Genomic DNA, 12,692 nt, shown 5'->3' with positions numbered 1-12,692 from the left:
CTCATCGTGGCCTGCAATACAAGGCATGACATGGCCTCTCCCATCTCATCTTATGCCCATCTCCTCCCTGCTTGCCTGGGTACGGTGTCATCATTCCTTCAGAACAAGAGCCAATTGACTGGATATCATAATTACATTCTCTGTTGAGTCACTTAGATGCTTCAAGTCTCTCCTCCCCACCATTCCTGATTGCCTGGGTCTGGGGAGGAAGAGGTTAAGGTTGTTGGAAGGCCTGGATAGCTTGGGCCTGTTCTCAATCAGAGCACAGCAGGAAGGCGTGGGGCTGCTTGCTGGGTCGGGGAAGTCTCCATAGCAAAGCGATTAGGTCAAGTGTGGGAGAGAACATGCTGAACGTTCATCTCTGTGCACGGAGGAGGGTGGGCTGGGCCAGGGGCAGGAAGGATGGGCGGTCAAAGTCTCAAAGTGGTAAAGCCCTGGGAGTTGGCTTTGCATCTGCAGAGATTTGGCCAGCTCTGGGCGGAGGGTCAGCGTCTCAGGCATCTCATGACAGGCTGGAATGGGTCAATGGACCAGTCTTGCTGGCTGTGCTGTCCAGCCCTCCCCTCCTTGGCTTCTTCCTGATATTTCTTGGCCCAGGAAGCATGTCTGTCCTCCAAGAAACTTCTCCCAGCTGGCTCCTCTCAGCTGGCTCTGCATCGCCGTGAGAGGTGGCGTTGGCTCCCCGTCTGGCCCTGTGGTTTGGACCAAGTACACACATAGGGGAAGGTGAGCTGTGTCCCTGAAACACGACAGGAATCAGGGAATTTGACTTGTCTTGAATATTGTTTCTTGGCTGCATAAGTGGAACATGAAACACCTCTCACCTCCCACCTTCTGTTCCACCCACGCTGGACCACACGCTGTTCTCTGGTCGAGCCAGGCTCCTCATGGCTTTGAACTTGCTGCTGCCTCTGCCTAGAATGTCCTTCCCCATCTCACCCTTAAGACCTGACCCAGATGTCACTCCTTTTATGAGGGAGTTCTCTTCTACACTGAGTCCTGTCTTCCTAGGGGCTTCTGTGTAGTGACTGTATTACATCCCTGGTCTCTACCTTTAACCTCCACACAGAGCACCTGAAACTTTTTAAAAAAATATAATTTAGGCAGGGCGCAGTGGCTCACACCTGTAATCCCAGCACTTTGGGAGGCCGAGGTGGGTGAATCACAAGGTCAGGAGATCGAGACCATCCTGGCCAACATGGTGAAACCCCGTCTCTACTAAAAATGCAAAAATTAGGCAGGCGTGGTGGCGGGCACCTGTAATCCCAGCTACTCGGGAGGCCAAGGCGGGAGAATAGCTTAAACCCAGGAGGCGGAGGTTGCAGTGAGCCGACATCGTGCCACTGCACTCCAGCCTGGGCAACAGAGTGAGACTCTGTCTCAACAAAAAAAAAAAAAAAAAAAAAAAAAAAAAAAAAAAATATATATATATATATATATATATATATATATGAAATTTAATCTCTACTTTGAACCTCCATTTGGCTGGCAGCAAAAATCATGCTGGTCAATTTCTGAGAAATGTGGTCATTTTAGGTTAAAATTTACTTACTTCTGAAATGTTCCTTTCTGCAGTCCCATTCCCACCTTCTCGCCAGGGTCTCATCTCTGTTTCGGTGGTGGTGGGCTGATGGAACATGGATGTCGTCATGGTTCTGGGCACAGCATCCTTCCTCCCTGGCTACTCCCAAGATGTTTGAGCTTCCATGTGGTCTCTGGCAAGACTCATGGGTCCCCTTGTTCCAACCATGAGATGCCCTCAGTTCCCCAGCTTTCTCCCATCTGACTTCCATGCCCTTCTCAGGGTTATGGGAAATGTTAGCTGCTCTCCTATAACATCCTACATCCCCTAGAAGCTCTCTGGGTCTACTTAGGTCCCTCTGCCACCAAAGATGCCTGGGCAGCCCTATGCCATGGGTACCATGTTACTCCAGATGACTGATGGGAAGTGGGGCAGGTCTCTACCTTCAGATCCCAAACTCGTATGAAATCTGACGGTCTTATTGTCCACTCCCATCCTTCTAGATATAACCCTAGAGAGAGGGCAGCATGCTGGATACTCTCAGGATCCATCCCCTCCAGTATCTAAATGACTTGCTTCCCCAGCTCACCTCTCCCTACCTGCCTTCCCCCGACCCTCTTCCCTGACCCTAGTATCTTTACTTTTTAACCGTTTTTTTCAAGCTGGGATCTCACTCTGTCACCCAGGCTGGAGTGCAGTGGTGCAATTCCAGCTTACTGAAGCCTCCACATTTCAGGCTCAAGTGAGCCTCCCACCTCAGCCTCCTGAGTAGCTGGGATGACAGGGGCAAGCCACCATGTTTGTCTAATTTTTTATTTTTTAATTTTTTGTAGAGATGGGGTCTCTCTATGTTGCCCAGGCTGATCTCAAAGTCCTGGCCTTAAGCAATCCTCTTGCCTTGGCTTAACTATTTTTTTTTGACTAGTTAATATATGCACATGGAACAAAAGGAAGTCAAATAGTACAAAAGAACACTCATATTTGTATATAATTTATTCAATCCTACATTTCTTCGGATATAATCAATTGACTCTTCACCAAGAGTAATGACAAAACCACTTTCTCCCAAATCCTCTCTCTTCTCTCCTCCATTCAATTTGGGCTGGTTATTGCTATTATTAGTTCTACTGCTTTACTGTTCCGTAGGGACACTGTGAGTGTTTGTATGAGAAAAATCGTCTTTGTCCAAGACAGTCAAGCATTTTACAGTTTGCTCATTATCTTTGGTCCCCACACACCAAATGACATCAACACTCTCAAGCTCCAAGACCACCAAAGAAGCAGATGCTACCTCTGGCCAACAGCCTCTCTCTAGAGGGTTCTTGTATAACTTCACACTTATTTGTATCCCTAATAGCTGGGCTACAGACTTTAAACGTATCTTTTCTTGGCCTTCAACTACAAAAAAATGAGAAAATCAAGATACTTAACGCATTCTTACCTTCATTGGGTTTTACAGTTTCTGCTTTATAATGGTTTATAGCATTTGTTTTGTTTCGCAACCATAATTCCAATAGTTGTTTTAATTGTAATCCCGAAACATAAATGTATTCAGTGCTCATTATTGGTGTTTTTGCTTCTGTTTCTCATTTGTTTACTAAACTTGGTCTTTCTGTATTTTCTTCAAGGTAGCTGAATTTTTGTAGTTTTGAAAATATATGCATGTTCTTTATTTGGACTACAGTTTGGGTTGATATGAAGTTCCTGAATCATGTTTTCTTTCTCTGAGGACACCATAGTAGCATATGTGGCACAAGATTGTTTCATTGTATTCTAGCTTTGAATCTTGCTGTGCTGATGTTTGTAGTCAATCTGATTTTTTTAGCTTTAAGTTCACGGGTAGATGTGTAGGTTTGTTATATGGGTAAATTGTGTGTCACAGGGGTTTGGTATACAGATTATTTCATTACCCAGATAATAAGCATTGTATCTGATAGGAAGTTTTTACGATCCTCACCTCCCTCCCACCCTCCACCCTCAGGTAGGCCCCAGTACTCAATGTTTAGCTCCCACTTAAGTGAGAACATGCAGTATATGATTTTCTGTTACTATGTTAGTTCACTTAGGATAATGGCCTACAGCTCCATCCATGTTGCTGCAAAGGACATGATCTTGTTCTTTTTTATGGCTGCATAGTATTCCATGGTGTACATGTCCATCACAGCATTATTTTCTAAAACTTCTACATTTTTTTTGTAGATTCAGGGTCTCACTGTGTTGCTCAGGCTGGTTTCGAACTCCTGGGCTCAAGTGATCCTCCAGTCTTGGCCTCCCAGAGTTCTGAGATTACAGGTGTGAGCTACCACACTTGGCCCTTGTAGGACTATTCACAATAGCAAAGACATGCTGTTATTTTTTAATGGATGATCTGATCTTTCTACTGAATAACCAGAAACTCTTTATCTTTGAAGCATGGCACTATTAATAGGATATGTTGGTATTGGTTAATCTGTTACTTTAGCAATTCATTTACTGAATGTTCATTGGGGGCATTATTTTAAGCACTGGGAACACAGCAATAAACAAAAAAGGACAAAAACCCCCATCCTCATATCTCAAGGAACATACATTTGGCTGTAAACATACATTGGGCATAGTTTAGAAAAAACTATATCCATTTTCCCAGAACATAGTATGGTCTTTCAATCTATAAATTCACATTTTCAGTTTAGGAAAGTTTTTTTTAGTGTATATATTTGAATGCCAATTATACATATGTTGACTTTCTTCTGCATTTGTTCTATATCTATTATTTCTTCTCGTCTTAAAATTCACTGTTATTCTCCATGTTACTGCATTCATTTTTCTGAAATGTACCTTCCAGGCTTCTAGCTGAATTTTCATAGCGTTTTGCTCCTCCATTCGGTCTTTTGTTTCTGTGATAGTTTTATTCTTCTCTTTCACTTCTTTTCCTGAGTCCTGGTAGCTTATATTTCTCTTCTTTCCCTTGTCTTGTAATTCTTTTCTGGTGCACTTGTAATTTCTCTTTTTTTTCTTTTCGTTGTCTTCTTTCTTTCTTTCTTTTGTGCTTGCTTGATTTTTTTTTTCTTTTTTTTTTTTTTTGGACAGGCTGTCACTCTGTTGCCCAGGCTGGAGTGCAGTGGCATCATCTGGCTCACTGCAGCCTTGACCACCTGGGCTCAAGTGATCCTCCCACCTCAGCCTCCCAAGTAGTACAGGCACGTGCCACCATGCCCAGATAATTTTTTAATTTTTTTTGCAGAGATGGGTTTTTGCCATGTTGCCCAGGCTGGTCTCAAACTTCTGGACTCAAATGATCTGCGTGCTTTGGCCTCCCAAGGTGCTGGGATGACAGGTGCGAGCCACTGCACCTGGCCTGTAACTTTTCTTGGAGTAATTGTTTATAGATAATTTTTTTTCATTAAGTTTCTGAATTCATGAGAAAATTCTTGGTCCCAATTATCATCTATCCAGGACAAAGTCTTCCTTAAATGTTAGCAAGAAGTCTCTTTCTGGCTCATTGGAAAGCTCTGAACAACAGAGTTGTGTGTGTGCATGTGTGTGTGCATGGTGGGTGTGGTGGTAGATTGGCCTTTCCTATGCCAAACACAGACTGTGTAGTTTCACCATGGTAATATATATATATATATACACACACACACACATATATATACATATATATACATATATATAATCAATATCTATAATTTTGAACGTGTATTCAATTTGTATTGATAGGGTAACATTTTTCCCACCAAGTAATTGGTATTTCCTTCCAAAAATGGAAGGGGAGCTTTGGTGGAATGTAACCCTGGGGTTAAAAAAACCGGAATGGATTCCTAGGAAAATTTTATGACATATCCCACGTAATCTGAAACATGGTTCAGTTACCAAATTGTTTATAAGCACTTTGTTTAGCAGGAAGGTGGCCAAGAGAGAGTTTAGCCTTGAGGCTGTCTATCAAATACTTTTTGTGAAAAGAGACAAAAGGTGGAAATGAGTAAGTTTAGGTTATGTACTTTAGGTCCTTTTCTTTTCTTTTCTTTTCTTTTTTTTCCTCTTACCAGCACCTGTTTGTGTTTTAACTGAGGAGGGAAAGCCTAGTAAGATAGGTCTCCTGTCTGGGGCCCAAGACATGTGGACATGAGCCTACTTAGATATCAGCTGAGCGAGAGCTTCAATCCACTCTCCCATCTGCAAGGATGGATCCAGACACTGTGTCATATAAATATTTTAAATGCTATGGAAATTGCTTAGTGGTGGATAAAATGAACTCTTTAATTAAGATAGTCCTGCCCCATGAAAGATAAACTTGTAGAGTTCAGTGACAAAATCTTTGTTACTCAAATTTCCCTAGGTCTCTCAAGTTTATGAGAACAAATGGAGTCACATTAACAGCCATAAATCTAAATGTCACCAACTCACTCAGACTTGAGCCATTTGAAAATACCTCTTCTGCTGCTTTGGTGGTGGGGGCAAGGGCGGGGGCACAGGGCTGGCAGTGGGGACAAATTCCTAGAGGTACCTCGCACAAGCTCATAAGCAAATACAGGGGACTTCAGACTTGTGTCTGCTCAATACCCTGGTCGCGTCAGCCTTGATTGCAGTATCCTGTTAAGTTCTTTAACAGTTCACTATTGCTATAAAACAAACTATGCCAAACCGTAGTGGCTTAAAGTGACAACCATCTATTTTGTTTATGCTTTTTATCAGCTGGCTATTTGGGCTAGACTCAGCTGGGCTCCCTCATGCATTGGTGGTCAGCTCTGGATTTGGGTATGGGACTTGACAGATCTTGGTTGGGCTCTTTCACATGCCTGGGGCTTTGGCTGGGACAGCTGGGCCCACTTGGCTCTGGGTCATGTGGTCTCTCATCCTCCAGCCAGCTAGCTCAGGTGTGTTCAGTGGTAGAGGCAATGTTCCAATAGAGAGAGTGGGAGAATGCAAGGCTTCTTGAGGCCCAGGCTCTGAAAAGGCACAACATGACTTCTGCCTCCTTCTATTGGCCAAAGCAAGCCACACTGTCAGCCCAGATTCAAGGTGGAGAAGTAGACTCCACTTCCTTATTGGAGGAACTGCAGCATCACATTGCAAACAGCAAGTGTGCTGGGAGCCAGTAGTCGTGACCGTTTTGGCAATCAAGCTGTCTCATTCTAGGTAGTGTTGTCAACATAACAAGCTCTTGAAATAGAGAAGCTGAACAGTGGAGGGTTGGCCCCTTAAGTATTACTCAGCAGGAGGGTTCCCAAAACATGGTTGCTTGGGTCTGAGAATACCCGGAGGTTTACAAAACAGCCCCTTCAGTTGTAACCTAGAGCCCCTTCTTCTTCCCAGGAGCCCCCTCCTGTGTGTCCAGGGGACCAGATTGGGAGCAGAGTTGAGTGACAATCTCATTAGCCTTCTGTCAACTCAAGCCGCGTTACCACTTGTTTTCTTCTTTCTTTAGAATGCAGATTCTCTCCCAAGAGGGTCTTTTTTCACCCGTCAAGCAGATGTCCAGCTGGCCTGCCACGCTGGTGCACCAGACGTGTGAAGAGGTGGCGGCAGCCCAGGGGTAGACCTCACTTAGGCTTCCTTATTTCTCTATATCTCATTGGATCTTCCTCTGTAAATTCTTACCTCCTGGATAGCAGAGGGGAAAAATATCTGAATATTAGTCTGGTAAATGAAGTCTTATGCAATACTAAATGGTCCCTCTGGTCTTCTTACGCAAACCCTCTCTCAGAGTTCTTCCTTCCTGCCCAGCTCTTTTTAAGACGCATCTTTGGGAGAGATTGAACCTTACTCTGGTGGTGGCAAGTGAGGCTCGTGCTCAGGATCACGGGGAGGCCTCTGGGTCCTCCCTGGGCCCCGCTGCAGATGGCCTGCTCTGGACCCTCCCTTGAAAGCAGAATGCTGGACGGGCTGGTCCCATTCCTGAGTACTGGGCTGGCATCTACTGCTGACGCCTGCAGCGTGTGCAGTTCAAGGTCTGGGTGCTCCAGGCTCCTTCGGATCTCTGCACTCTGATCTTCACTCGGCCTTCGCTGATGCACCCTCTGGGTCTCCATTATGTCCTCCTGCCAGCCCCTGATTTAGCCAGGGTCTACCTGCCCCTCTTCATCCTGGGGCTTAGAGCAGATGATTTGTTTGTTCTGTGTCGCATCCCCTCAGCCCATTTCTCATCCCAGCAGGGCAGTGGTGGACAGCTCCACGAACAGGAACTCATTCCACCTTAAGGGACAATGGCTCCTGTTTTTCTTTTTTCTTCTTTTTTTTTTTCTGGATTTTTGTTCTGTCACCCAGGCTGGAGTGCAGTGGCGCGATCTCGGCTCACTGCCACTGCAACCCCCCACCTCCCAGGTTCAAGCAATTCTCCTGCCTCAGCCTCCCACGTAGCTGGGATTACAGGTGTGCGCCACCATGCCCAACTAATTTTTGTATTTTTAGTAGAGACGGTGTTTCACTATGTTGGCCAGGCTGGTCTCGAACGCCTGACCTCAGGTGATCCGCCTGCCTCGGCCTCCCAAAGTGCTGGGATTACAGGCACGAGCCACCACGCCCGGCCGGCTCCTGTTTTTCTGCCTCAGATGTTTCTTTTAGAACAAATATGTCCACACAAACCAGGAAGTAAGAGGAGGTAAGCTCAACTAGAGGAGAATGAGAGGAGTCAGCAGAAGAATGCCCCAAACCCCCCACCTTTAATGAGATATTTCTGAGGCGTGTTCTACACAGTTCCTTATACGGTCCCCAGAGAAGTCAAGCCCCAGTTGCCCCCAGCAGTAACCTGTCCAATAATGCACCTTCCCCACTCTCCACTTCCTCCCTCCCTCACTCCTGCGTTCTGGGTCCTCAGTAAATGATCTGCACCCAAATCCTTGTCTCAGGCTCTGCTCTTGAGGGAGCTCAAACCAAGACAGGCCCTGTTAAAAAAGCCTGTGGCTCACACAACTCAGCTTCCCTCTGAAGCTCCTGGTCCTTGGGAGCAGGTGGGAACTTTGGCATTACATCTATGCCACACGGGGATTGTGGGTGACCCCAGGAAGCTGAACCCAGGCCCTCCCTCTGTGTAGCTATGGTGCTGCACTGAGCTGACTTGTGTGAGGCTGTCTAGGTTGGAGGAGAAGCGAGTGGGCAGACCGTGTTTTTTTTTTTGTTCTTGTTTGTTTGTTTGTTTGTTTGTTTTTGACAGTTTTGCTCCTGTTGCCCAGGCTAGAGTGCAACAGCGCCATCTCTGCTCACTGCAACCTCCGCCTCGCAGGTTCAAGCAATTCTCCTGCCTCAGCCTCCTGAGTAGCTGGGATTACAGGCGCCCACCACCACGCCCGGCTAATTTTTGTAATTGTATTAGAAATGGGGTTTCACCATGTTGGCCAGGCTGGTCTCGAACTCCTGACCTCAGGTGATTCTCCTGCCTCGGCCTTCCAAAGTGCTGGGATTACAGACGTGAGCCACCGCACCTGGCCTGTAATCCTTGATTCTATCCCCAGAACTCCACTTAACCCACCAACATACCTCTGCTCTAAGGTCAAAGGTCACAAATAGGGGAGACGCAGCATCCAGGACTTTCTGTCTTCCTCCCTTTTCCCAGAATCCACTGGGAACTGAGGAGTGGGCTTTGGGCCTCCCAGTTCTCTGCATAGCCTCCTTTTCCCAAGCCACACAGGAGAACTCTGATCTGCCTCTCCAGCTGTTATACGGGGAGACAAAGAAATGCAGAAGCTCCTTTTCTTTCTCTGGCCATGCTTGTCATTCCCACTACTGTTTTGCTAAGGAAAAAAGGAACTTAGCTTTGAGACTCCAAACTCATCAGTGGCCTCCTTGTTCTGTAAACCTGTGCTGTCCCAATCTGGTAGCCTGTGGCTATTGAACACTTGCAACATGGCAAATGCCCCTGAGGAACTGAATTTTTTTTTTTTTTTTTTTTTTTGAGACGGAGTCTCGCTCTGTCACCCAGGCTAGAGTGCAGTGGCGCGATCTCGGCTCACTGCCAGCTCCGCTTCCTGGGTTCACGCCATTCTCCTGCCTCAGACTCCCGAGTAGCTGGGACTACAGGTGCCCACCACCACGCCCGGCTAATTTTTTGTATTTTTAGTAGAGACGGGGTTTCACCGTGTTAGCCAGGATGGTCTCTATCTCCTGACCTTGTGATCCACCAACCTCGGCCTACCAAAGTGCTGGGATTACAGGCGTGAGCCACCACGCCCGGCCGGAACTGAATTTTAAGTTTATTTATTCATAATTAATTAAAATGAAAATGTATATGCCGATCCTCGATTCAGTTATTGGGCAACATTTAAGTATGTTTGAAACAACTTGGGCATGTGAATCTACTTTTTCAACTAGAAGTTTTACAAAATCTGAATTCAGATCAAGTAGTTTTGTTGAAATTTTAATGTCCAAATTGAGATGTCCTCAAGCAAAAAACACGCTAGATTTCAGCCCTAGTATGAAACTAGGATGTGAAATGTCTCATGGATAATTTCTTTATATTAATTACACGTTGAAATGATAGTATTTGTAACATATTGAGTTAAATAGAAATCTATTACTAAAATTAATCTCACCTGTTTCTTTTTACCATTTTTAATGTGGGTGCTAGAAAGTTTAAAATTGCACCTGTGGCTTGAGTTGTATTTCTTTTGTATTTTTAGTGGAGGTGGGGTTTCACCACGTTGGCCAGGCTGGCCTCAAACTCCTGACCTCAGGTGGTCTGCCCGCCTCGGCCTCCCAAAGTGCTGGGATTACAGGCATGAGCCACTGTGCCCAGCCACAAGTTGTGTTTCTATTGGAGAATTTTAGACAATTCTAGACAATGCTCACCTGTTGCTTCCTGGGCCATGAGCCTCTTGGTCTGGCCTCTGGTGGTAGAAGCCTATAAGAAAACACGGTCTGGCCAGGTGCAGTGGCTCACGCCTGTAATCCCAACACTTTAGGAGGCCGAGGTGGGTGGATCACAAAGTCAGGAGTTCGGGGCCAGCCTGGCTAACATGGTGAAACCCTATCTCTAAAAAAAATACAAAAAATTAGCAGGGCATGGTGGCACATGCCTGTAATCCCAGCTACTCAGGAGGCTGAGGCAGGAGAATCTTGAACCTGGGAGGTGGAGGTTGCGGTGAGCCAAGATTGCACCATTGCACCCCAGCCTGGGCAACAAAAGCAAAACTCCATCTTAAAAAAAAAAAGAAAATATGATTTAAGGGTAGACTTTAATTATTAGTTTAATATATGCAAAATATTATCCCTGTTCAGATGTGTTGCTATATTCTGCCTTGAAGGATGAAGGATGAAGGGCTATTCCTTTCTCACCTGTGGCTTTGGTATGGGGAAATTGATGAATGGAAAAATGTTTTCTGGTGACTTGCGTGAATGAATGAATGAATCAATCAATCAATTTATTCACCAAGATGGAGAATCTAAGTAGAGAGAAATGTGTTCAGGGCTTGGCAAGATGGCTTGTGCTTGTAATCCCAGCACTTTGGAAGGCTGAGGGGGAGGATTGCTTGAGGCCAGGAGTTTACGACTAGCCTGGACAGCATAGTGAGACCCCATCTCTACAAAAGATACAAAAATTAGCTGGCCATAGTGGCACATGGCTGTAATCCCAGCTACTCGGGAGGCTGAGGCAGGAGGATCTCTTGAGCCCAGGAGATTGAGGCTGCAGTGAGCTATGATCATGCCACTGCACTCCAGCCTGGGTGACAGAGTGAGACCCCATCTCAAAATTACAAAACAAAACAAAAACAAAAACAAAAGTAATGGGTTTAGTTTTAAATAGGGCCTAGGTTCAGGGTTTCTGGTAGCCCAGTATGTACAACCTGAGCTCATCCCTAGCCCCACTGTCACAGGAGGATGAGCTGCTCTTTTGGGAGATTAGATTAGAGAATAAGGGATTCTAGCAGCATCTGGCTGCTTTCCTGAGCAGCAGAGCTCCAAGCCCCGGAGATAGAAGTCATGGCCACCTTTCACCAAGTGTCTGGGGTGCAGGGAGGGCCAGTCTGTGATGAAGGAGAAGAAAGAACCCCTCAGGGAAGACTTTCTGGGTTACGGGAAGCCCTTTAGGCTCTGGATTTGCCTCTTATACTGAGCTCTCCATGCAGTTCTGACACTGAGATTAGATGAGATTATCGAGAAACCACTGCGTCTGCAAATGCATTCCCCCAAGGTTATTTCTATTACCTGCAAAGGAAAGAAGCTTAACACATAGAGTAGTGGGTCCATATGGGGAAACTTAATGGGAGAACTTTAACTTATTTAATTTATAGTGTTTATAGCCCAAGAAGAAAGAACCAGAAGATATATACATATTTTTTCTACAAATAAAGCTGATCAGTGGCCTCCTTTTTCAGGGTAGCTGACACAGTTCTCAGCACCACCCTACAGCTGCATTTTGGGTTCAACAGACTTTTGTGGCTGGCCTGGGAAGCAGATCACCATTTATAACATTGTTTCTAAGGGAGACACATTCCAAGATCCAAACAATGAATTTAGTAAAGAATGCTTGGCTTCCAGGCTGGATGAGCTGGTCTGGCTGTACCTTGGGGGTTGGCCTGAGGCTCCCTTCCCCTTTGGTCCGCAGACACTGCAGGGTTGGGGATAGGCACGTGAGGGGGAGAACTCTGAGTAGATAGGGAACCTGCAGCCGGGCTGCTCAAGGGCCTCTGTGTACTGGGGGCGCCAGGAGGTCCAGGGATGGAAAAGGGGGAGGTGAGAAATGGACAAAGAAACTTGGCCTCCTTGGCATTGCTGTCACGTCTGGCCGGCCCGCCAAGTCGAAGGGGCCTGTTTAGCCCCTGTCCGGCTCAAACCCTTTTGGGAATAAGCTGGGATGTTAGAAAAAACAAAATCCCACAACCTCTGCCTGGGGAATCCAGGCCGCTGGAGGTGGGCTTGGTAGGGCAGCGTGACTGTTCCCTGGGAGTGGCTGTCACAGCTCCGGGTGAACCGAGGAGCTTGGGCCAAGTCTCCATCCCTCTTGGAGAGGGCAGCAGCAAGGAGGTGAGGGGAGCCAGCTCATCCTCCCCAACCCTGCACTCCCCCCCCACCTCCCCACCCCCAGCCCGGAAGAATCGCTGGCGGCGGGAGCCTGGACGAGCTGGCGGGGAAGGGGACGCAGCCACAGCATTGTCTGGGAGGGAGGGGAGAAGCTCCGCCCCTAGAGGGGAGGGGAGAAGAGGAGGGGGCAGGAGACAAGGGGAGGAAGAAAGGCGAAGGCAAGGCGAAGGGGTGG

At 46.5% G+C, this 12,692-nt stretch overlaps 1 annotated feature.

Moving 5' to 3' along the window:
• Positions 1-500: an enhancer, noted in NCBI's record as "H3K4me1 hESC enhancer chr20:4816447-4816946 (GRCh37/hg19 assembly coordinates)". NCBI's record gives its function as "activates a minimal SCP1, AML or CMV promoter by ChIP-STARR-seq in naive H9 embryonic stem cells {active_cell/tissue: H9 hESC(naive)}" and the evidence as "EXISTENCE:reporter gene assay evidence [ECO:0000049][PMID:30033119]".

Source organism: Homo sapiens, chromosome 20, assembly GCF_000001405.40.
Source record: "Homo sapiens chromosome 20, GRCh38.p14 Primary Assembly".
NCBI lineage: Eukaryota > Metazoa > Chordata > Mammalia > Primates > Hominidae > Homo > Homo sapiens.
The sequence above is the reverse complement of the archived record's forward strand: the minus strand, read 5'-3'. Positions and strand labels throughout refer to the sequence as shown.